The 26662-nt window shown below is 48.0% G+C and overlaps 1 protein-coding gene across 1 annotated transcript in view, besides 1 other annotated feature; it reads right to left on the bottom strand.

Annotated features, from left to right (window-relative positions):
- DLGAP2 (DLG associated protein 2) overlaps window positions 1-26662 on the bottom strand; it is a 970849-nt gene that overhangs the window by 434635 nt on the left and 509552 nt on the right. Inside the window, exon 3 of the mRNA NM_001346810.2 lies at window positions 14959-14991. Coding sequence (NP_001333739.1) covers window positions 14959-14991 — 33 coding nt within the window. The remainder of the gene's footprint in view (window positions 1-14958; window positions 14992-26662) is intronic.
- Window positions 18612-19290: an enhancer, noted in NCBI's record as "H3K27ac-H3K4me1 hESC enhancer chr8:1204552-1205230 (GRCh37/hg19 assembly coordinates)". NCBI's record gives its function as "activates a minimal SCP1, AML or CMV promoter by ChIP-STARR-seq in primed H9 embryonic stem cells {active_cell/tissue: H9 hESC(primed)}" and the evidence as "EXISTENCE:reporter gene assay evidence [ECO:0000049][PMID:30033119]".

Below are 26662 nucleotides of genomic sequence, written 5' to 3'. Positions count from 1 at the left end.
ACACCAATGTCATTCTAGCCTTTTGCTCTTTGAACAGAATCCCACTTAGCTCCCTGGGAATTCTACAACAAGTTTATCTTAATTTAACATGCAGCAGATATCCTGATTCATTAGAAGCACCTTTGAGCAGAGGTACCACATGGGCTGGAGAATTTGGATTAAATTCAAATTCAGGCCAAATATGCCTGCAGTAAACTCCAAGGGCTTGTGCAGAGCCAGGGGCTACTGGGAAGGATGGAGCTGCCTCTGCACATGATAAAGCCGTCACGGCACGTCTGAAGCAGCAGAGCAGGACGTTCCTGCCGGCCATCCACACTTGAGCACGTGAACTGCCGCAGCTCGAGACTCCTGGTCATCCATCTTGAGCATAAAACTCGTCAAGTTAAGGTGGGGCATAAAGGCACATTGACCCCCTGGGTCTCCACTCCATAAGCCAGCTGTGTGACCTGGGGTGATTTAGGGATGTGAGCTGTGCCTCATGCTCCCAAGCAAATGCTCAGCTGGCAACAGGGACTCAAGTCCCCAGCAGGGCTCTCTCAGAGCAGCCCACGTGGCTCCCGGACTTCCTACTGCTCCCACCTCTTTCCACACCCAAGTACTGGATATTAGGGTGCATGTGTGTTTGTGGCTGGTGGGAGGGCCCCCCTGTAGACTAACCCGGCCAGGTCCACTCAGACAAACACCTTCCAGAGACAGCTCTGCATAGCTATCCACAGCTACTATTTACTCATTTTTATCATAAGAATGGGCCTGAGGTAAAAATTCAGGACCCGGACCAGGATCAACCCCAGTGGTCAAATGGACTTTGTTGGAGATATTCAAGGCAGAGGTGGACCCAGATGGCTTTGGAATGTCAGCACACTCCGAACATTCCTTCCCAGGTTCCATAACCCACGGCACAGAAGCTCCTCTTTTCACCTTTTACGTGGTCATGAATCTCCATGAAAATCTGATGAAAACTACACACCCTTCTGCCCCCAAAGCCTCTACAGATGTTTACAACAGTGACAGGGACTTGCAGGCCGGCAGCTCATGGACCTTCTTTGACAGCTCTAGAGAGCCGTCTGTTGCATGATGGGAAGAGTCACCCGTGGTCCGAGTCCTACAGACCCTGAAACCTTGACACCACACTCCTCAGGCCTGGCCTTCCCATAGGGTCCTGCACACCAGTTGTCAAACGAATCTCCCATGTCCAGCGCTTCACACTTGATTATTCCCTTCCACAGCTGAAATCATTTGCATTGCTTTGGCATGATCATAAAACAAAGTTTAAAATGTTACAGAATTTGTATGATATATAGATATATTTATATGGAACACAGATGTGAATATATATTCTATATAAAACGTTTATGTGTAATATATATGTTTTCTATATATAAAATGTTTAATATAGATACGTACATAACTTCTATATACAAAACTTCTAAATATATAAAACATCTATATATATAAAAACTTTCTTTTCCAGCTCAATCTCACTTTTTGGAAATTCCTTGGCCCCTACCACAATATGCTTGCACACTCTGGACCCGCTATGCATTGTCTACATTCACTCACATAAAATGAGTTGATGTTTCCATCTCTAACTGCAGAAATACCAACTCAAATTCAATTTGTCCTACATTTTACCTAAAATGAGGGTATCCTAATTGCTTTTAAAATGTGATTACATCAACTTTCTTATTTTTTATTTGAGAAAACGGAGAATAATGAAATCATTCTAGGCTAGGCATGGTTGCTCATGCCTGTAATTCCAGCATTTTGGGAGCCTGAGGCAGGCGGATCACCTGAGGTCAGGAGTTTGAGACCAACTTGGCCAACGTGTAGTGAAATCCCATCTCTACTAAAAAAAATCCAAAAACTAGCTGGGTGTGTTGGCACACACCTGTAGTCCCAGCTAGTTGGGAAGCTGAGGCAGGAGAATGACTTGAACCCGGTGGAGGTTGCAGTGAGCTGAGGTTGCACCACTGAACTCCAGCCTGGGTGATAGAACAAGAGTCTGTCTCTTAAAAAATAAATTCATAAATAAATAAAAATTAAAAAGAAATCATTCTAATTGGATCTCCAGAATTTATTCATCTTAAACAACAAGTTTGTAGCCTTCAACCAACATTGTCCCATTTCCCCTCCCCCTGAGCCCTGGCAGACACCACTCTACCCTGTTTCTATGAGTTCACCACTTGTGGGAACCATTTTTATAAAACAGTAGATCAATATTCATCATCATTAGAGTACAACCATTGCTGTATTTACAACTCTTTATTGCAACTACTGATTGAATTTTCAGATGTTTCTCGGATGTACAACTATCTCGTTCGTGCCTGTGTTTCCTCGGTACTCAGATAATGCCTGATAAATGGGCTTGGGGCAAGACACATGAAGTGAATAATCAACAAATGCACAAGGAGGTTCATAAAGTCAAGTCTCCAGAATAAAAGTAAAACAGAAGTCACTATGTCCCCAGTGTGTGCCATGCATTGTGCTTAAAGAGCATAATTTTCAGAATCGCATTGAAATGGGCGCACCCCCCCGGCTGAGGAGTCCAGATGCCATGAAGTCACACCGCTGGCTGGAGGTCTCTCAGTGCTGGGTGGAGAAAGCTGGATTTTTACCAAGGCCTGTTTGGCACTAATCTTGACTCCCAATTCATGTTATTTTCTCCTTTTCACATGTTTTCTTTTTTGTGGGTTTATGATTTAATTAATTATTTAATCATTTAATTTGGTAATGGTTAGTTTGCCAAAATTAACTATGACTTATTTCATGAAGACGTGGGGAAAGAATTTGAGAATTGCAATATTAGGAAATGGGTCATCCGTCATTACAATTCTGAAATTTAAAAAATTACTTCCCATCTACCTTTTTGCAACACGTCTAACAATAAGAAACAGTTTTACTAAGTAGCAGGTCAACGGTGTATACAGTCGTGGAAACCAAATTTACGAAGAACATCTAGAAAATAAAAATCAGACCCTGACAGCAGAGGTTTCACTCTGTAGACACACACACAGAGAGGTAGACACACACACACACAGAGACACACAGAGAGAGGTAGACACACACAGAGAGACACACAGAGAGAGGTAGACACACAGAGAGACACAAAGAGAGAGGGAGACACACACACACACACAGAGACACACACAGAGACATAAATAGAGAGACACACACAGAGACACACAATTTTAAGGCAAAGGAAATTTTACTGGGAGAACGTCAGGGTCAGAGAAGTTACGTTCTTAAGAAGCCCCCACTTCAAATTAATGGCAAAGAGGTTAAGACAGTGGTGCCTGCTTCCTGGCCTGACTCTGTCCGCTGGGCTTAGAGCCTGCATTTCTCCTGAGGAAAGTCAATCTTGGACGTAAGGCAAGAGTGGAAACAGAGGACACATATACTGAAAATGATTTTTAAAGCAAAACAAATGCTTCTGCATCCTATAAGTCAATGAGGCTGTGACGATCAAAAGTCACATTCATTCTCCCCATTGCCCACATCACAGGTTCTACTTTTCCTTCTATTTCTGGACATTTTTCAGAGCTGTTGCTCCAGGACATCTGCAGACGTTGCTCCTCTGTTGATCCAAGTCCCTTCTGTGTATACGGTTCACAGCTCTCATATTCTCAATCCCATGCTGTTGGCTGTACACAGCATCCTGCACACGGCTTCCCATCTTGGTGAGACAAGACCCACCTGGTTTTTAAAAATCAAAGCAACCCATGGCCAGCAGGAGAAAGTTTTGCATCATGGTCAGTCAACAGGACCCCAAGGGAAATGGGAAAAGACCACCCGCTACTGTATGTTGAGAAGGGCAAGGCCTGTGATGAAAATGCTCCCCGCCCAGGAAAATACCGGTTTCAAGATGCACAGTTTCTTCCACACACAGGATTCTGCATGTGCCTCTCCACGGTCCATGAAGAGGAGATGAAGATTTAGTTCAATTTATTTTAGAAAATGAGTCACTCAGCGAGTTTCCCTTTTTGGTTCCAGGGCTTCTGGCGCGCCCATTACACCACGGTGATTCTCTAGCTTTAAAAATACAATGTCAGTGTCTAAAAATCCTCGCCAGCCTTTTTTGCTTATTTCTAGGTTCACAGCTTGAGTTCTGGGTCATCTGATCACAAGATTGGCTGGGGGAGGGGGGTGCACAGTCATTCTATTCTGGGGTGTTTTCCTTCCAAGGTCATTTTACAAAGGTGGGTGCTGCAGACATTTCACTCCTTCGTAATGGGTAACATTATTGTTAGATGTACCAATCAGAGAGGAGAGCACAATTAGGGATTCACAGCCACAATAATACGGGGTTTCAGGGTTGAGGGGGTCTTACTTCTCCCAGTCACATAAACAGACAAAGAAGATCTAAAACTCAGCTCAAATGTGTAAACACAAGCCCTGGAGCAAGTGTTACAGGAAGGTGGATGGCTCTGACCTAGGCTCACCGCAACTGCTGTGTGAAGCCACAGAGCCACGCCGTGCCACACGGGGCGGTCTTTCCAGCAGGTCCCATCCTCCCCGTACCAGGAGCCTCTGCAGGCTGGGAGCTCCAGGCTGGAACACCCTCTGGCTCCTCCTCCCGGCACCCAGCATGGTGTCCTGGGACTCATTTACTGCTGTGAAATGCAGGCAGGAAAATCAAGAAAATCCAGGAGAAGGGCAGGGAAGGAAGCAGCAACGAACATGGCCCGGAGAAGAGGTGGCAGACGGGCCCACCGATGAAGGGGTGAGCCAATGTACAGTTGCTTAGGAGCCCAGAATATTTAGACTTGATGAATTCACATCTGTATGCCCTATTGGTTCATCAGGGAATTCTGTTCCTTGTCTCTGGTCTCCCTCCAAGATTCATCTCAGACCAAGGACTACGGCTGAGCTACCTGCAGAATCAGCTGCAGATAGAGCTGAGGGTTCCACTGCCGTTGGCTCTGGCCATGTCATTCTGCCACAAAGCCGACTTAGCCTGAAGGTCTAAGTCAAATAAAAGCTTCTTTGTCTTTGAAAATGTCTTAGCACCTGCCAAGTCAGAGTGAGACCCCAGAACAATGCTGACATTTCCCAGTGTGCAACATGAGGTGCATAATTGGGAAATGTTTTTAAATTTTTAAAGAAACAAGTAGTAAGTTGAGATAATGTGGCTTCTGCAGAGACATGTAACTCTCAGGAAATCTAATAACCACCCAACATCTTTGTATTCCTGGAGCTAAGGAAGATGATAAGAATTCTCTTAAGGATACTTGACTCTCAGCAGATCAGCGGAAAGATGTTAAATTGGGGGCATTTTATGCTTCTTGTGAAATGGCACGAATGATGTTCTCATTTTAAAACAAAGTTCCTGCTTTGGAGATGGCGACACTCTAACGCGGAAGACAGCTGTCAGACGCTATCCCACATTAAATTTCTCTCTTTGGCCAATTATTTCAATATTGCAAATGAGTTTATTATGAATTACTGAGAATAATTCTAATATTTCTTTTCCTCAACATGCAATTGCATATATTTCCATCTCCCAAATATGCTTCAAAATTCAACAATTAGGCATGTTTAGCAACAAGAAAATAGGGAGTATTTTCTCCAATCACACTAAACCCACGGCCTGATGTTTAAATTACCCAGTGACCAAAAATATAAAATATTTATGTATTCCTGAGACTATCATGGAGGTAAAATTGTTTCAATGCCAGAATACCTGAACCTCTGATATTGGATATTATTTCTTAAAAAGAAAGAAATTTGCAAACTAGGGTTTATTTGTGAATTTTATATCATTCTGCATAAATGGGTAATTGTCGCAATCTCAGACACCAGATGGTATGTTCAATTCATCCCCGTTTCACTCTATCTTATCATATTGAATAGCTGTGGCTTCACCTCTGATTCTAAATGCAGCACTTATATTGTAATAAGAACAGACATCCATGAAGCCAGCTTTATGTATTTGATTCAAAACTACAGGGCTATGAAATGCAGAGGACTAGGGTGGGTGTGATGGAGGAAAAACCAGTTCCCATGCTCAGAATTCCCATAGAACCAGCACTGAGCTCAGCGTGGGACAAACATTCTGCCCCAACAGACATCTGCAGAGGAGAAAAAGGGAAGGGATGGCAAAGGAAGTCCAACAGAGTTGCTACGGAGGGGGCCAGCGACACGGAGGACGTGGGCGTCTCATCACGGAAATGGTGTCTGAGCTGACCCTGGAGGCCTTTTTGTAGACCTATTTAATATTTATCTTATCTTATCTTATCTTATCTTATCTTATCTTATTTTATTTTATTTTATTTTATTTTATTTTGAGCGGGAATTTTGCTCTGTCTCCCAGGCTGGAGTGCAGTGGCACAATCTCAGCTCACTGCAACCTCCACCTCCTGGGTTCAAGCGATTCTCAGCCTCCCAATTAGCTGGGGTTACAGGCGCCCGCCGCCACACCTGGCTAATTTTTGTATTTTCAGTAGAGATGGGGTTTCACCATGTTGGTCAGACTGGTCTCAAGCTCCTGACCTCAAGTGATCCACCGCCTCGGCCTCCCAAAGTGCTGGAATTACAGGCGTGAGCCACTGCACCCAGACCTTTTTATTTTATTTTATTTTATTTTATTTTATTTTATTTATTTATTTATTTTGAGATGAAGTCTCGCTCTGTTGCCCAGGCTGGAGTGCAGTGGTGCAATCTTGGCTCACTGCAAGCTCCGCCTCCCTGGTTCACGCCATTCTCCTGCCTCAGTCTCAGGGGTAGCTGGGACTACAGGCACCCACCCCCACGCCTGGCTAATTTTGTTTTTGTATTTTTAGTAGAGACAGGATTTCACCATGTTAGCCAGGATGGTTTTGACCTCCTGACCTTGTGATCTGCCCACCTAGACCTCCCAATGTGCTGGGATTATAGGCGTGAGCCACCGCGCCCTTTTTATTTTTAATACAAACTATTACACATCCCCTCTCCCCACTGAGTGTGCATCTTCTGCTGGGATAACGCATTAATGAGCAAGCCATTCATTATCCAAGCAGAAGCTGCACACACAATGGGGAGAGGGCATGTATTCCAAAGTATTCCTCGATAGCTTTCTCTTTGTTCATAAAACACACACACAAACACATATACACACACTGGGTCTGCACTCAACACTCCCCTCCCCCCTCACTGTATCATGCTTTTATTGTAAAGCCTTCAACGTCCCGGGTGCACCCACGGAGGCGTACGTCAGTGCGTGGTGACTGAGAACAGAGGGTGCATATTTCATATGTGGTTAAACAGCATTGGACAGACCAGTAGGGGCAAGATTATGAATGTGGAATTTATCCAACAGAGGAGGAACTGACAGGATTTAAGGAAGCAAATAATATGATCTGACTTATGCTTTGGTAATAGTTATTTATGGCTGGCCATAAAGAGCAGGTTGATGGGGAGAGGGATTCTTGGAGCTTCTGAGGACCCCGGGAAGGGACAGCAGAGATGCTGCTTCCTGCTCCACACCTTGCCCCGTAGACAGAGTATCACCCAGGTGAATCTGCGCTCATCTGGAAACCAGAAGCGTCCTGCAAATATTTCCAATAAAAGCATGGCTGCTTGGGTAAGTGCTTGCTAAAATGCCACATAAGCCAAAAGGGGACTGAAGTCAAGCAAAAAATTAAACTTTGTGAACTTGGCAAGAACCCCCTTTCGCAGATAGTAGACAGCGTCCCTGTTGGGAATGCTGGGGGCCAGGGAAACCTCCCTTTCAGAGCGTCTCTGCTTTTCCTGGGTTACACCCACTCCCTTCAGTGAGGTTCTATGTCCTCAGACAAGGGTGTCCCCTGTCATAATTTTTCATTTGTTGGTTTCTCCTTGTAATCATTTTTTTCTTTGCATATCTTGAATCTATTATAAAGTAGATGGTTCTTATAGCTTCTTGGAGCAGATTCCGTTTATCATTAAACAATGATTTTATCTATAAAAATACCTGAGTCATCCTACCATGTGCTTTGTGTTGTATGAGCCTTTTTCTCTCCCCTCCCCTACCTGTCTACTCTTCTATTCACCTTTATATTAAATATTTTGCATTCTATTCACTCTCTTTATTGTCTCAGAAATTCTTAGACATTATTCCAACATCATCTGGCATCAGTATTGACTACGAAAACTCTCCTGAAAATCAAGTACACTTGTCTGTATTCTCTCTGGCTTTATTGATTCTTTGTCTCCTATTCCGTGGTTTCACTTTAGAAGGCATGGGAGTGTCTGTACTTGTCTGGCTTCAGTCTTAGGAGTCTTTAGATCAAAGAGGCCCAGTATATTTCTTCACTTCTAGGAAAATCTTGGCCTTTACTTCTTTGACTAATGCTGCTTCTCCTTTCTCCCCATTCTTTTTTAATTTCTCATTTAATTCCAGACATGTGTTTGTCTTTCTCAAGCCATCTTCCACGCAACTTGATTCTTCTATTTCCCTTTATATTTTTTATGCAAAGTTCTAGGTGATATCCTAGTATCTACTTCCCAGTTTGGCAACTCTCTTTTCAGCTCTGTCTAATCTACTTTATAATAATATATCCACAGAGTGGTCAATTTAAATGACCCATCTTGTTTCCAGATATTCTGTTTGTTTTTAAGTCTTTCTTTCCTCATAATAGATACTTCTTACATTATGGCTCCTGTTTCTTTTGAAAATCTATTTAATAATTATAAACGTATCCAATATCTAGGCAAGTCTATTACTTCTAGGGCTTTGGTTGTTCATTCTCCTGTTGTATCTTCTTATTCCCTGTACTATTCCATTTTCATAGTGCTATGAAGAAATACTCGAGACTGGGTAATTTATTTTTAAAAAGAGGTTTAATGGACTCAGATTTCCACTTGGCTGGGGAGCCCTCACAATCATGGTGGAAGGCAAAGGAGGAGCAACGGCATGTCTTACATGGCAGCAGGCAAGAGACCATGTGCAGGGGAACTGCCCTTTATGAAACCATCACATCTCATGAGGCTTATTCACTATCACGAGAACAGCACGGGAAAGACTCACCCTCATGATTCAATTACCTCCCACTGGGTCCCTCCCATGGCACGTGGTGATTATGGGAGTGACAATTCAAGATGAGATTTGGGTGGGGACACAGCAAAACCATATCACTTCCTTAAAGTTTCTTTATATGGGTTATGCTCTTTTCTGTATGTTTATCTAAAGTGGGTACTATTTTATAGTGGAGAAGTCCTTTGACCCCTATGTTGTCAAGAATTCTGTGTACATAGTTTGTGATTTTGATTCTGCCAGAGCCCTTAGGTTCTGACAGAATCATAACTGATTCTGGAACAACTTTCCTATGAATGTCATCATGTGGTCCTTCTGCAACATACAGGTAGTATAAATTCAGATCTCAGATCCATACCTGGAGTGTGCATTTCTCATTGGTAACTTTATATCCTATCCATGGCCCTGGATGTGCGATGAGCTTCCTCCACACTTTCTCAGGCATGTTTTTCCAGTTCTTTTCTCACAAACGGGGAAGCTGGGTGAGTGTCTGGGTTTGATTCAAGGGGCTCAATTACAGTGTTTCCACCACCCCTACCTGACAGGGCACAGACCGCAACCCCAGCCCCATCCCAGGCCCCTTTCTGGGATTGCATCTCAGGAGCGACTGCAGCTGGAACTCGTGCTGATCCCCTGGTTGGAATTCCTTCTTAGTTCTTGGGGCTCAGGGGATCCCCTTTCTTTTGTTTTCATCCAAGCTCAACTATGCACTGAAATAAATTGTGTTACATATTGTACAGCATTTTATTTATTCTTAGTGGGCATGGGACAGGGGTCAACTCAGTCTTCCATCTAGACTAAGAGAGGAGCAGCATTCTCCCTCTTACCCTAGAGACTGTTTTCTGATTTCCACCAAAACCCTAACCATGTTCAGGTCCTAGAAGACAGACTGGCTAGAGCTGAGTCTGTTTTCCTTCAAATATTAGTGGAACTTTTTAGTTCTTAAGCAACAATAATCACTAAAAACCACAAATAGCAATCAGAAAAGATCATTTTTATACAAAGCATTCAATTAAAGAGCTGTGGTCTCAGAGAGACAGGGTGGCAGCTGTCTTTGAAACAGTGGTGCCCTCCCTCTCCACAGAGAGCAGAGAACAGGGCTGGGGTTATTTCTAAGCTCTTCAATATGCAATTTCAAGAAGCAATCCTATCATTTTTTCCCCAGAATTGTTAAGAGGTCTTAAAATGTTAAGACAACACATATTCAATTAAGGTTAAAAACAAAAACCCACTAAGGAGACTGCATTGTTTCGAGTCACTTGTGGGGAAAATCTTGAATATCTTGTATTTAAAAAGCAAGAACTTAATGCTACTAACTGCACGAAAACTTTCCCAATATCTTGATTATGAGTTATGAAGGGAGAAGAGGTGGCCTGGGTTCCTCCTAGTTGTGATAAAATATAGGATTCTGTATGTCTTCCCAAAATTCTAAAATATAAGATTCTGTAGGTCTTCCCAAAATTCCAAGGGCAGCATGCAGATTGTGTTTTCCAATAACCAAAGTAAAAACAACAAAAATGAAAACAGATTTAGAAAGAAAATCTCTTACCTTAAACTACTTAGTTTTTTTAAGACTTGAATTTTGCTTTTAGCCTGGAATTTCTAAAACATTACCCAAATAATCCAATATATATTTCTGCCATCACAATCATCTATTGCTTCTTAAAGTTCCAATCTTGAGGCCTCGATTGCTAAAGAATCGTTCATGTCAACGTATCCCAACATTTTTGTAGCATTTTCTAATGCTACATTTATATAATAATATTAATAGCTGATTTTATTTCTTAGATTTAATGGGGGCAAATAACACAGATCGAAGACACTGTTAATACGTCACTGTGGATTTCAAATACATTCTCCCGGCCCCACCAGGCATCATTATCTGTCTTCCCACATCGGAAAATCTATCTGCTGTGGTGACAAATCAAGCCATAAAAATGTAAACCAACAGACAAATCCATGAACTGACATCTGTGGCCCCACCCAATGTCCATAAATTTTCCTGTGTTCTAGTTGAAAAGCGAGTAGTATCATGCATCTGTCAATAAAGCTTAAAAAGAATCAGGTACTCTTAAATTATTTTCCGATATTAAATTGACAGATTATATCGCACACGGATTTTTGCTATGTCAAGATAAACCAGCCTGCCCTCTTATTGCTATATAGTAACTGGTTACTGCCTTTATCTAAAAGGTAACAGGAATCACTAAGAAAATGATATAAATTGAGACCGTCTTAGTATTAAATTGGCAAATTATTATGACAACTGAGATTGTTCTGAGTAAATTTATTATTATTATCAGGAGAGGTCTCTGCAAAGCAGAACCCTGTAGAAACTGCATTCCTGTGAATGGCATCCAGACCCTCGTTAACTAAAATGCCGCTCCATTTTCACGCCACGCTGCATTTCAAGGATTTAGTTGGGCTGTCTGTATCTTCTTGGTAGGAACAAAGGTACCAGTAAATAATAATCAATCTTTTAAACATTTTTATCTCATGAAAACATAGTCTCACAAGTTTCAAAACCTCGTAATACAGAACATGTAAGTAATTTGCATATTGAGATCATGATCTACATTTTATATACAATTAAAATTTTAAGTTCTCTGAAAAACAGGCCACACCATCGTAGAGATTCCCCAACTGTAGAATTCTGAGGTCTCCAGCATCCTGTAAACTTTGTCCCTGGTTGCGTTTGTTTGACAGATATTATCATCTGAGACTGGGCTAATTATTCCATCTGTATCCAAAGAAGTAGCTCTCACAGACAGAACTAACCATTAAAATGCAAATAGGTGTTTCCCACTTCACTGGCTTAGCCAGGGAAGGCTGTTAACAGCTTTCTGACAAGAAAGCGAGATGCTAAATGAGGTGGTGCCTTAACCTTCTGGATGTAATGAGCGCTGCACACCCACATCCGAGCCGCACACGCTGCCACCAGCCTCTGGCTGGTCATTTCTGTGCCATGACATTTATGAGTTAACTCGCAGAAGCTGCTGAAGAAATTACCAAACAAAAAGGCTGATTTCAGATTCCACTCTCTGCGCCCAGCCAGCTCTCACTTAGACTAATTACTTAAATGATTTTAAAAATATATGAATATTCATATGACAGTGCTTTGGGAAAACTAAAGCACAGCTGAGACCTCGCCACAAACCCTTCCTCCTCCCTGATCTGGAGCAACTGCACTCGTACATCTGAAACACGGGGTGGCTTCAGAGAACCGCAGCCCAGTGAGGAGGGGCAGGCCAGAGCAGGGAGCCCCACCCCCCACTGCCCAGCCCCCCCTCCCACCCCCACCCTCGGCTGGAGAGCCCCCCGACTTATGCGGGGCTCCCCACCGGACAGGGGGAGTCTTCTTATTTGGAGTACAGTCTGTCTCGTTTTAAAGATCTGGAAGCTGACCTGCCCTCCCAGTCTGTCTCGTTTTAAAGATCTGGAAGCTGACCTGCCCTCCCAGTCTGTCTCATTTTAAAGATCTGGAAGCTGACCTGCCCTCCCAGTCTGTCTCGCTTTAAATATCTGGAAGCTGACCTGCCCTCCCAGTCTGTCTCATTTTATATATCTGGAATCTGACCTGCCCTCCCATTCTGTCTTGTTTTAAATATCTGGAAGCCGACCTGCCCTTCCAGTCTGTCTCGTTTTAAAGATCTGGAAGCTGACCTGCCCTCCCAGTCTGTCTGGTTTTAAAGATCTGGAAGCTGACCTGCCCTCCCAGTCTGTCTGGTTTTAAAGATCTGGAAGTTGACCAGCCCTCCCGGTCTGTCTCGTTTTAAAGATCTGGAAGCTGACCTGCCTTCTAGAGCAGGAACGAACACGTTTCCTCCCCTCCTCACGCCACTGTCACACATTTGCTGGGAGCCGACAGTATGTGTGATATGGAGGCCAAAGGCAGGTGCCCAGGGGAAGTGACCCTGGGATTGTCCAGGACCACGCACTCTGGCCTGACGTCAGTGGTGCTGGGCCTGAGAGGTCACAGACCTAAGGCTGGAGAGCCCTGATGGGGCCAGATCACCTCCCCATGCTCTGGACGACTACAGTCGCCTCAAGTCAGCCTGCGCCAGCCAAGGTCCCCTCTAGAGTCAATCCCATGACCTAGAATGTCCCCAGAAATCATCCAATATCCATCCCTGAGCCAGGACTCCGGGGAGATTTACCAGCCTTCATTCAGTCCAAACCCTCGCCTCCAAACATCATGGATTCTGATTTACTGGGAAAAAACTCTTCTTTTATGTCCCCAGAAATCATCCAATATCCATCCCTGAGCCAGGACTCCGGGGTGATTTACCAGCCTTCATTCAGTCCAAACCCTCGCCTCCAAACATCATGGATTCAGATTTACTGGGAAAAAACTCTTCTTTTATGACAGCAGTAAGTGGCATGTGACAACAAAACACACCCCACATGGGCCACTGTCCTTGGCAGAGGCAGACATTTGTTATTAGAAACAAGTAGACGAAGAGCAAGATGCAATGTGTTTAAACCACTATTTACAAGGTTTTATATTTCACAATTTCTCTCACACACTGAAAACTCTCGGTGAGGGGTTGGGGGAAAGAGAATGAAAAATGAACTCAAAGCATGATATGCATTCCCTGGTGGGAATGGCAATGGAAGTTATAATAAGAAATAATAAAGCTTTCAAACACCCAACAGACAGGCTGCAGAATTTCATCATCCTCTGCAGCAGCCTTGGGGTCTCCAGGGGAAAGGACCTGTGGCTTTCCCATCACAGGCGGCCTCTGCCACACCCAGACCAGCATCCCAGGCTCCACCCGGGAACAGCCCCCACCCACCTGACTGTAAAACATCACATTACTTTTGACTCTGGAAATGCCAGGTGTCCAAAGTCTGATGTTTTGCATAAAAGTGAAGCTTATGATTTAAAAATGTACAGTGACTGACTTTACCATGGATATATCTGTGCTTTCCATGACTACTAAATGACACAGGAAAAAGTTTTAAAACCTTGTCATACTTCCCTTAACCACCAAATAAGGGAATTAAGTGTTTCATAGAAGTTCCAAGTTAACCCTATACTCACTTTTTCATTTTTGTGTTTTAAATTACGAGTAAGAGCCTTTCCAATGGACACGGTTGAGCTTCTGTGACCCTGAGTATACAGAAGCCTTTAGTATTCGGCTTTTAGAGTCACACGTTGGGATCATCTCTCCCCATCTCTCCCTGTGGAAGCAGAGCTGGGCTGGGCTCTGACCCAAAGGCACATTCCTGGGGTTGGCTGTGTCCCGAGTTCCCCAAGGCTGACTCTTTTTCTAGCCAATTTGCCTCTTGCTGCTGAAAGCAGACCTCGAAATCAAAGCTCCAGTTAATTCAGAGTCCCCGCTAATAGGGGTCAGGTGTTTATCACATTGTCCTTATTCTTTCTAATTAGACCATTGAAAAATATTACACCAATGCTGGCTTTCACTAGTTCCAAACAGTCAACAAATGACAGACTCAGGGGCCCTACTTTGCCGCGTGTTTTAAACACAGGAGACTTGCGTAGAAAGTTAAATAAGCAACACTGATGAACATCACTCACAGCCAGCAAAGGCCCCACACACTCTCAGGCTGAGCCACCGACAGTCGGGAAGGGCTTCCCAGATCCGACTCAGCCTGCGGCTCATTGGCACCTTGGGCGAATGCACTTAAAGCCAACAAGCCTGTATCAGCATCTGTTACCTCACAGAAACTGATGGAAATTTGTCAATCCAGAACAAACAAAAATAAAGAAAATATTGCAATTTGATGGTAAAGCCAATTCTTCTTCAGAGACGAGCTGCTGAGTCCTAACGCTCACCTTGCACTTTGCTTCAATTATTTTACTCACGTTCCTATCAAACAGCACACAGACTGCGTCCTCAATGTTCAAGGTTCTCTCCAACACGTTTCATGGTAGACTGTTGCCAGCCACACACCTGTGAGCCGCGCGGCCCCCGCCCACCCCAGGCAGCATGTCAGGTACTCACCTTCCGGCTCCCCGCAGAGCGTGCACTGCGACTCTGAAAACAGAGACAGAGAGAAGCTGTTACACCCACAGGGTCTCAACCATGCAGTTAAAAAGATTCAACATCAGCAACAACAAAACTACAACTTTAAGATGACGCCGCTTGACCACACCAGAGCCAGTGGACCCTTCCATAAACAAAGCCAGCTCTGGCCTTGCACGCCAGCAACTTTTACTTCAAAAGCTACCCTTGGCAAATGTTTTACAGATGACATTTTTACTTTTGAGAATTAAAAAAAATTTTTTTTAATTTTACTAAGTTCTGGGATACATGTGCAGAACGTGCAGCTTACATAGGTATACAGGTGCCATGGTGGTTTGCTGCAACCATCAATCCATCATCCAGGTTTTAAGCCCCGCATGCAATAGGTATTTGTTCTAATGCTCTCCCTCCCCTCTTCCCCCCCACCCACCGACAGGCCCCAGTGTGTGACATTCCCCTCTATGTCCATGTGTTCTCATTGTTCAACTCCCACTTACGAATGAGATCATGTGGTGTTTGGTAGTAACGACCTGTCACATGCACACAGCGAATATACTTTCTTAATTGTATATAGGTGAACAGAAATTACTTAGATGAAATAACAATGGTCTATTTTATCCCAGTTTCAATATTGAAACCTTGACTTCAGCTACAGCTCTGTTACATCTCCTTTCAGGCACAAAAGTTATGAGCAAATCTGTATTATCTTTCAGGAAAACACTAAAATCCATGGGTATTGAGTCCCCTGTATGTAGGTCCCTGAGTGACTATGAACTTGGCTCTGCCTGCAGAATAGACACAAACACTTTGGGAGCACGGCATTTACAGGTGATCCTCACACAAGGAAGCTGTAGCAAGTGCACAGACACACGAGTGCAAGGTCTTCATGGGAAAGAATTCAGACTTGGGGGCCGGGTAGGCCTGGGTTCAAAGCCAGCTTCCATCCACTTTCCTGAGAACATGAGGGCAGGTGACCTAACCCCCAGCCCTGAACTAGTGTCAAGGACCCTGAGCCCACAAGGGTGGGAGAGGGAATGAGCATGTGCGTCAGATATCAAGACTGCAGGGACAGCACTGGCCTGCACGGGCCCTCGGGAGGACACCGGCTCTTCCACGTCAGCGCTGGCCTGCACGGGCCCTCGGGAGGACACCGGCTCTTCCACGCCAGCACTGGCCTGCACGGGCCCTCAGAAAGACACTGGCTCTTCCACGTCAGCTACAGAGGCACACACTCTGCCATCCAGCGTGACAGCCCGGGGCCCACAGAGGAGACGCCACGTAATGCCATCTGGCCTGAACCTTGAAGGACAAGCAGGATGTTAAATAGTAATCTGGGGAGCGAGCACAGACGTCCCAGGAAAGGCACGGACAAGGTGGACAGGCAGGGGACAGCAGCAGCATCTGCCCAGAAGGATGGGGCGGGGGGGTGGAGGGGCAGGCAGAGAGGTGAGCGGAGGGCGTTCAGGAGGGAGCGGAACATTAAAAAGGGAGTTGAGGTGTTGTTCAAAATAAAAGTTAGGAGGCAACAAGGGATTCTGAGGCAGAGCCTCACAGGCTCTCATGGTTCCTTCGGAAGGTGACCTTGGTGGCTGGGCGGGGCGGGGACGGAGCTCACCTGGGAGCCGTGTGTGTGGCAGGTCGGGCTCTGTGGGTGAGCGGGAGAGGGTTGGTGGAAAGGAAAGAGCATGAATCGTCCTTTAAAACTGTGACTGACAGCTCTACTGAGCTCTCCCGACTTCGGGGAGACAGACCCACACGCCTCGGGGTGGACACATCTGACTGCACCTGCCTTCACGGGCGCCGGTGGAGGGGACGGGAGAGAAGACGTCGGGGCCGCAGGGCAGGACCTGAAGTAGAAGCCATCGGACGCAGGAGCCCTGGGCCCAGGGCCACACTGCTCTGTGTGAAAGGAATGGGGCAGGCCATGGTCCACACACGGGGCCACCTCTATCCCAGCCACCACCATTCACAAGGCCTGTGGAGGGAGGCGGGGCTCCTGTTACCCAGGGGACACGGGGCAGCCAGCTCAGACTCGGGCCATCCCATCGCTGCCATCACTGAAGCAGACCCTCAGGTTTAGTTGACCTGGAAACGCAGGCACCACCCCTTCACAAATTCTGCAGAAAGTGGGGAGAAGGCATCTCACTCGGGAACAGAGGGCCCACAGTCAGTTTCCCCTCAGTTTCCAAGGTGAGACTCCCCACGCGGGCATCTGATTGCAGGAGGCGCGGACATGACTGTGTCCCTGTGCGCACACACAGCACCCGGGCAGGAGAGTACACACGCACAGCACCCGGGCAGGAAAGGACACACACACAGCGCCTGGGCAGGATGAGACGGGCACACACACAGCACCCAGGCAGGAGAGGACACACACACAGCACCCAGGCAGGAGAGGACACGCACAGCACCTGGGCAGGAGAGGACAGACGCACAGCGCCCAAGCAGGATAAGACGGCACACACACAGCACCCAGGCAGGATGAGAGGACACACACACAGCACCCGGGCAGGAGAGGACACACACATGGCACCCAGACAGGATGAGAGGACACACAGACAGCACCCGGGCAGGAGAGGACACACACACAGCACCCAGGCAGGAGAGGACACACACACAGCACCCGGGCAGGAGAGGGCACACACACAGCACCCGGGCATGAGAGGACACACACAGCACCCAGGCAGGATGAGAGGACACACACACAGCACCCAGGCATGAGAGGACACAGAAAGCACCCAGGCAGGAGAGGACACACACACAGCGCCCGGGCAGGAGAAGACACACACATAGCACCCAGGCAGGATGAGAGGACACACACACAGCACCCGGGCAGGAGAGGACACACACACAGCACCCAGGCAGGAGAGGACACACACAGCACCCACGCAGGATGAGAGGGCACACACACAGCACCCAGGCAGGAGAGGACACACACACAGCACCTGGGCAGGAGAAGACACACACATAGCACCCAGGCAGGATGAGAGGACACACACACGGCACCCAGGCAGGAGAGGACACACACACAGCACCTGGGCAGGAGAAGACACACACATAGCACCCAGGCAGGATGAGAGGACACACACACAGCACCCAGGCAGGAGAGGACACACATACAGTGCTCGGGCAGGAGAGGACACACACACAGCTCCCAGGCAGAAGAGGACACACACACAGCTCCCAGGCAGGAGACGACACACACACAGCGCCCGGGCAGGATGAGGACACACACACACAGCACCCAGGCAAGAGAGGACACACATACAGTGCTCAGGCAGGAAAGGACACACACACAGCTCCCAGGCAGGAGAGGACAGACACACAGCTCCCAGGCAGGAGATGACACACACACAGCGCCCGGGCAAGATGAGGACACACACACACAGCACCCAGGCAAGAGAGGACACACATACAGTGCTCGGGCAGGATGAGGACACACACACAGCACCCAGGCAGGAGAGGACACACACACAGCACCCGGGCAGGATGAGAGGGCACACACACAGCACCCAGGCAGGATGAGAGGGCACACACACAGCACCCGGGCAGGATGAGAGGGCACACACACAGCACCCAGGCAGGAGAGGACACACACACAGCACCCGGGCAGGATGAGAGGGCACACACACAGCACCCAGGCAGGATGAGAGGGCACACACACAGCACCCAGGCAGGATGAGAGGGCACACACACAGCACCCGGGCAGGAGAGGACACACACTCAGCGCCCGGGCAGGAGAGGACACACACACAGCACCCAGGCAGGATGAGAGGACACACACACAGCGGCCGGGCAGGATGAGAGGACACACACACAGCGGCTGGGCAGGAGAAGACACACACACAGCGCCCAAGCAGGATGAGAGGACACACACACAGCACCCGGACAGGATGAGAGGACACACACACAGCACCCGGGCAGGAGAGGGCACACACACAGCACCTGGGCAGGAGAGAGCACAGACACAGCACGCGGGCAGGAGAGGCAGGATGAGAGGGCCAGGGAGTGAGGCCCACGGAGGAAAAGTCAGGAGCGGTCTTTGTGGGAGCGCAGTGAACTGCGTGGGCCAGGGAAGCTAAAATCCAAAAGTCAACAACTCTGCACACTCACTCGGCCCCCGAAACCCAAAAGGGATTTTTTCGTCTCATCCTGAGAAGAGCTAAGGCAGGAGGTTCCTGGGAAAGACACCACTGAGTCATACAGACAAAAAACTGCTTTAAATGAGAGCACGAAGCTCTGAAACCCTATTTTGGAATGCAGATGCGAGAAGCCGTCTTAGGCCATAGATCGTGATTTTCCCCAAACAAAAAGTCAGTGCTGCCAATGATCGCGCCCCACGGTAAGTTCATGAGAGCCACTTCCAAACTAGAGGCTCCGAGGAGGCCCACGACATAGAAGCCCATTGCATCTTATTTAATCAAGACGTTCCTAAATGTGACCACTGAGACCTTGGCATGACACTCAGGAAAACGGAGTGAACATGCATGTCAGGAACTGTGGGATCCACTCTGGCCTCCCACGTGGAGGAGACCACGAGGCCTTGATGGACCCATCAGAGGTCACATGATGGGGACAGAGCGGAGTCCTGGATGTGCCCGGGGTTCCCCCAGGGCAGGGGAGACGCCGGCTTCACCATGGTGCCTGTGGGAGGCACTGATTTCAGGGAAGGGAGAGGCAGACTGAGACCTGCAAGGGTGGGATCTGTGACCAGCCCTCAGCGCTGAGCCCACAGGCACACTGGGTTCAACTTGGCCCCCCTGGCCATGGCTGTCCCCACTCAGTGCCCCCAGGAGGGACTGGAAGCCTCACGAGGCGGCTCACTCAGACATGGATCAGAGACTGTGGTTCCGCACCTCTCGTCCAACGCGAACCAAAATATGCGTCAAAACTGACCACAGATTCAGGGCTTTCCCCACAGTTCATCTTCATCACAGGTTACATATGTTTAAAATCACCCAGCAAGCTGAACACACAGCAAGCGTACTCACAGCAGCACGGACCCTTTCAATGAATTCTTCCCCAAGGAACACCCATTAAAAAAGATTCACAATGTAGACAAGACTTAACCTGGATACACTGTGGATTCATCATCATTAGTGCAGAGTCTCACTTAAATTAGGAGAAGACCACACTGATCTGTGCTAATTGACACAGATGGAGAAATCTGTCTGATGGTTTTGTGTACGTGAACCTGAACCCTCACCACACGCAGCCCGCTGAGAACCGGCTCATTCCCCGAGCTCCACACGTGAACAGCAAACGCCCAGCCCAGTGTTTTCTGGCACAAGGTGCCTTATTTTAATCTCCTAGAAAAGAGGAAACTGCAGCATCTCCTGTGTAAATTCATAGAGCATTTTATCTATGGAGGCTACTCTACATTTATGCACATATTTTTGGAGAGGCAGCTTTGAGGTCTGTGAAGCCGAGCGCATGCTATCTCTGGCTTCTGCATGGAGTCGGCCTCCGCAGCACCCGCCCTCCCTCCTGACACCAACCCGGGGAGGGGTGCGCAGTAGCAGCCGATGGAGCCGGGAGATAAAGGGGCCCTGGCAGCTCTCCTGGAGCCCCGGGAAGAAAGGGCACACACAGGAACCACCCAGCGGCTGCAGCCCTGCGTGGTGGACACAGCCCGGGGCCTTGGCTGGAGCTCCTCAGGACGAAGCCAAGCTCAGCGTTGCTGGGGATGGGTACCGCTTTCCTGAGGCTGGTTCCAACCCAGCCATGAATGCAAAGAGCATCTGTGCTCCTTCTACAGGAAGCCACGCGGGGACAGGCCCGGGCGTGGGCGGCATTTGCCGTGGGCCGTGCAGTGCAAGCAGCGGAGGGACAGCGGGATGAGGGCTGGTGCTGGGAGGCCTGTGGGGGTGCCTAGATGCGAGGCCCAGCACTGGGCTGCTGTGACAATTGCACTAATTTGTTGCCTCCCCCGTCCTCTGTCCTCCTCTGCCTCCCTCCAGCTGTGACAGTGACTAAGAGACACAGGGAGAAAAACACCAACGTCTTTCCTCTTCCAAGTCTCCGAGCACACGGCAGGATCCTCTGCTCGTCAGGAAAGGCTCCATGTCAGCAGCCACCTGGAGGCACCACATCCGGCCGCGCTTCAACAGGAGCTCTAGATGACAGCAGGCCTGCCTGGCCGCCATGGCCACTGCCCAGCCATGACACCCGGCGGCCTCGCTAGCACCTCTCACACAGCACAGAGCACGAAACCATGACTCTTTGTCAAGAATATGTGAATAGGCACTCACTCATGCAAGCAATTGATGTAACACAACTGTGGGACACCATGACCCAGGACATGACTGTGAGACAACACAACACACCACGTGACAACACCACCGTGTAACATGGTGATGACGTGACTGTGACACTGTGACCCAGGACAACGCAACACACGCACGTGACAACACCACAGTGTGACAAGTGTGGCATGACATGACTGTGACACCGTCACCCAGGACAACACAACACACCCATGTGACAACACCACAGTGTGGCAAGTGTGACATGACATGACTGTGACACCGTGACCCAGGACAACACAACACACCCACATGACAACACCACATTGTGACAAGTGTGACATGACGTGACTGTGACACCACGACCCAGGACAACACAACACACCCATGTGACAACACCACAGTGTGACAAGTGTGACATGACACGACTGTGACACCGTGACCCAGGACAACACAACACACCCGTGTGACAACACCACAGTGTGGCAAGTGTGACATGACATGACTTTGACACCGTGACCCAGGACAACACAACACACCCACACGACAACACAGTGTGACAAGTGTGACATGACATGACTCTGACATTGTGACTCAGGACAACACAACACACCCACGTGACAACACCACAGTGTGACAAGTGTGACATGACATGACTGTGACACCATGACCCAGGACAACATGACTGTGGGAAAACAGGCCCACGTGATAACACAATACTGTGACGTGGGTACAGGACACATGACCCTAAGACAACATGATGCGAGAATATGCAACACGCCTACAGGACATGGCCGTGCAACAGTGCGATGACGTGACGTGACTGTGGGACACCACAACCCTAGGACAAGATGACAACGTGACTGTACGACAATGACTATATGACAACGTGGCCACATGGCTGTATGACATGATGACCTGACTCCACGATCACATGACTGTATTCCAACATGACCTGACACAGAGGCCAAAAACTCCACTCATCATCAACTGAGTGATGCTTAAATAACTTATACTTCAGCCAGGCACCGTGGCTTGCACGTGTAATCCCAGCACTCTGGGAGGTCGAGGTAGAATCACCAAGGCCTGGGAATTTGAGGCTGCAGTGAGCCAAAATACACCAGTGCACTCCAGCCTGGGGACAGACAGAGACCCTGTCTCAAAAATAAATCAGTAAATACAATTTGTGGATGCTATGGAATCTTATCTGCTCAAATGGAAAACTCCAACATTAAAAAACAGAAAGAGCAAAAGGCAAAACACTCTCTCATTTTTATTTTTGGATGTGTACTCTTTAATACTGACTTAATATTCATAGAAAACCTACCTTGTGTCAGGTACTATGCTAGGAGATAGTCATTGATAATATTCTAATAACACCAGTCATGTATATTTATAAATGCTAAGTAAAAGCCCAGGATGACAGTAAATTTTTAGAAGTTAGTTCTCAGGGAGAAATTGTGGTAATGATATTGCTTGTTGCACGGGTTAGGGAAGGCAGACAAGAATACAAAGTAACGTTCTCGTGAACATGGGTTAATTTCTAATTTGAAAACCAATGTTTAAACTGCAGATAGTTGATGTACACAGAAAAAATACACGTAGCAGAAAGCCAACCCCTAAATATTCACCCAGACTTCACCACTGTGCCACGTACCGAGGTCACACAACTGTGCTTGCATCCCTTAAATTTGTACAAATGAAGACAACACAACAAAGCCGCCTAAGGGCACGTTTCTCAGAGCGTCACCCCGTCGTTACCTGGCGCCTGACTGTAATCAGGAAGCAGGCCGACATAAGTGTGCTCCAATGTTAATTAATAAATCGTGTGTAGGACAGTTCCTTCAATTACATAATTGCATTCAAACTCAAGTCTCATTCCATTTTTTTTAATGAAGTGAAACAACGTGAAGGCAAACCCAGGAGTGACTGGCTTTAATAAAGCAATGAACGGTAGGAACAACCGTGAAAGTCAGATGCACAGACAGGGAGGGAACGCGTCTTCTCTTTGCCTGAAGCTATTGCTTCTGGACCGAGATAATTACCTGCTCAGGATCCTCATGTGAGCGCAACCAAGTTCTCATGGCCAGACGGATGCACGGATGCTCAGCTATCCTCAGAGAAGACATTCATTCACTCCCTTCTTCCTTCAGCGAACATGACTGAACATCTACCACGGTCCTAGTGTTGCTCCACATGCTGGGAGACGGCTGCGATCAACACAGGATGTCTCATTCGGGAGCCCCTGACCCATGCAGCTGTGGCAGGAGGAAGTGCGCGGTGTGCAGACCCAGGCACTGGAGTTGCTCTGGAGACAAACTGTGAGCTCACAGCTCAGCCTCTCTGCTCGCCATTGTCACGTCCTGAAATGCCATATCTGACTTTGGGGTGTTTCTGGGGGCAGATTTATCTTCACAGTGAGCTTAGCCTAAGAAAGACTACTGGGCATGGTGGCTCACGCCTGTAATCCCAGCACTGTGGGAGGCTGAGGCAGGCAGATCACAAGGTCAGGAGATCGAGACCAGCCTGACCAACATGGTGAAACCCCATCTCTACTAAAAATACAAAAATTAGCCGGGTATGGCAGCATGCACCTGTAGTCTCAGCTACTCGGGAGGCTGAGGCAGAACAATCACTTGAACCTGGGAGGCAGAGGTTGCAGTGAGCTGAGATCACGCCACTGCACTCCAGCCTGGGTGACAGAGCAAGACTCTCTCTCAAAAAAAAGAAAATAAAGTTAATTAGCTTATTAAAATCTCTAAGGAAAAACAAGGTCTCAGTATTATTCAACCCAAATATGTGCTCACTGCCTAACGGATGTGCACCGAGGGTTAAGAACTAGCTAAAAAATAAATGGCCCACCCCTGAATAATCAATAGTTTATTTTTATATCCTTTTAATCTATGAAACTCAATGCTGCTCATGACTCCAGTCTCACCAGCTCCATGACAGCTGTGTGTGAATAATCAGCTTGTTTATGTCTTTCATTCAGTTCAGGAAAAAGAAGCCCAAAGAAATGAAGTGATTTGCCTGTGGTCAGCCATTCAGTCGTATAAGGAATTATTCTAGTTTCGTTTTTAACAATTTGCAAAATATTTCATCAAGCAAAAGATTGTTCAGTGCAATCTCTTTCCTAGCTTTTTATGAGAACATGAGAAATAGATAAGAGCAGAGAAACAGAAGAAAGTTGTATTTAGGCCTCAGTAGTTCAGAAACACCTGAAGAGATGACATAAGGAACTAGATGGGAAGCACAGTGACAGTGCACTCCACTCATGGGCAAATGAGGGGCCCTGAGACGCTCATGCAGGCTGAGACCTTCCCACGGGACCCACAGAGAGGCCCAGTGGCCCATTTCTGAGTCTGCCATTCTGCTTCTGAAATGTGCTCCCAATGCTAAGAGTTCTGAGCCTGTGGAGTTCTTGCCATTCTCTTCTCTCCAGCAGTAAAGCAGGCAAGGGTAGAGCAGTGCTTTCTCATTAATCCAGCCACCCTCCCAGGGACAGCATGCAGGACACTCGTGTTGAACTCCATTTCTGGTGTTCTCAGCCTCTGTCCCAGCTTAGTCTCTTCAATGTCACAGCAGCATAAAGGGCCTCTCTCCTAAACATGGGATGTCCCCGGGGTCCTGCTCTTACATTGTGGCTGAGCTCAGCCTTCACAGCCTCTCTGAGAAATTCATCCAATGTCAAGTTTTCACCTTCACTTATTTATGCCAAAGGTGTCCTCAAGCTTCAGAAGCATAGAGCCAAATACCTGGTGACCGTGTGCAGGTCCCATCTCCAACACTCCACTGAAAACATCACTTCCCGCAGTCCGGACCCAGAAGCCTCTTCGATTCACCTTTCTCCGCACAGTGAACCTCACCGTCCACTTCCACCTATGGGGCATCCGCCACTCCCTCTCTCCTATGCCCAGTCCTCTTCCCAGGCGCCCTGAACTCAGCCATTACCCAGGCTGGCACCGCCTCCCACACTGATCTCAAAGGTCTTCCCGGCCACCGACGTGGACCATCACTCCTACACTGATCTCAAAGGTCTTCCGAGCCACCGACGTGGACTATCAGACTCACACACTGATCTCAAAGGTCTTCCCGGCCACAGACATGGACCATCACTCCCACACTGATCTCAAAGGTCTTCCCGGCCACCGACGTGGGCCATCACTCCCACACTGATGTCAAAGGTCTTGCCGGCCACCAACATGGGCCATCACTCCCACACTGATCTCAAAGGTCTTCCCGGCCACCAACATGGACCATCACTCCCACACTGATCTCAAAGGTCTTCCCGGCCACCGACGTGGGCCATTACTCCCACACTGATCTCAAAGGTCTTCCCGGCCACCGACATGGACCATCACTCCCACACTGATCTCAAAGGTCTTCCCGGCCACCGACATGGACCATCACTCCACACTGATCTCAAAGGTCTTCCCGGCCACCGATGTGGACCATCACTCCACACTGATCTCAAATGTCTTCCCAGCCACCGACGTGGGCCATCAGACTCCCACACTGATCTCAAAGGTCTTCCCGGCCACCGACATGGACCATCACTCCACACTGATCTCAAATGTCTTCCCAGCCACCGACGTGGGCCATCAGACTCCCACACTGATCTCAAAGGTCTTCCCGGCCACCAACGTGGACCATCACTCCACACTGATCTCAAATGTCTTCCCAGCCACCGACGTGGGCCATCAGACTCACACACTGATCTCAAAGGTCTTCCTGGCCACCGACGTGGGCCATCACTCCCACACTGATGTCAAAGGTCTTGCTGGCCACCGACGTGGACCATCAGACTCACACACTGATCTCAAAGGTCTTCCCGGCCACCGACGTGGGCCATCACTCCCACACTGATCTCAAAGGTCTTGCCGGCCACCAACATGGGCCATTACTCCCACACTGATCTCAAAGGTCTTCCCGGCCACCAACATGGACCATCACTCCCACACTGATCTCAAAGGTCTTCCCGGCCACCGACGTGGACCATCAGACTCACACACTGATCTCAAAGGTCTTCCCGGCCACCGATGTGGGCCATCACTCCCACACTGATCTCAAAGGTCTTGCCGGCCACCAACATGGGCCATTACTCCCACACTGATCTCAAAGGTCTTCCCGGCCACCAACATGGACCATCACTCCCACACTGATCTCAAAGGTCTTGCCGGCCACCAACATGGGCCATTACTCCCACACTGATCTCAAAGGTCTTCCCGGCCACCAACATGGACCATCACTCCCACACTGATGTCAAAGGTCTTGCTGGCCACCGATGTGGACCATCACTCCCACACTGATCTCAATGGTCTTCCCAGCCACCGATGTGGACCATCTCACTCCCACACTGATCTCAAAGGTCTTCCCGGCCACCGACGTGGACCATCACTCCACACTGATCTCAAAGGTCTTCCCAGCCACCGACGTGG

This window comes from Homo sapiens, chromosome 8 (genome assembly GCF_000001405.40).
Source record: "Homo sapiens chromosome 8, GRCh38.p14 Primary Assembly".
Classification (NCBI taxonomy): domain Eukaryota; kingdom Metazoa; phylum Chordata; class Mammalia; order Primates; family Hominidae; genus Homo; species Homo sapiens.
Note: the sequence above shows the minus strand (reverse complement) of the source record. Positions and strands in the feature narration are given on the sequence as shown.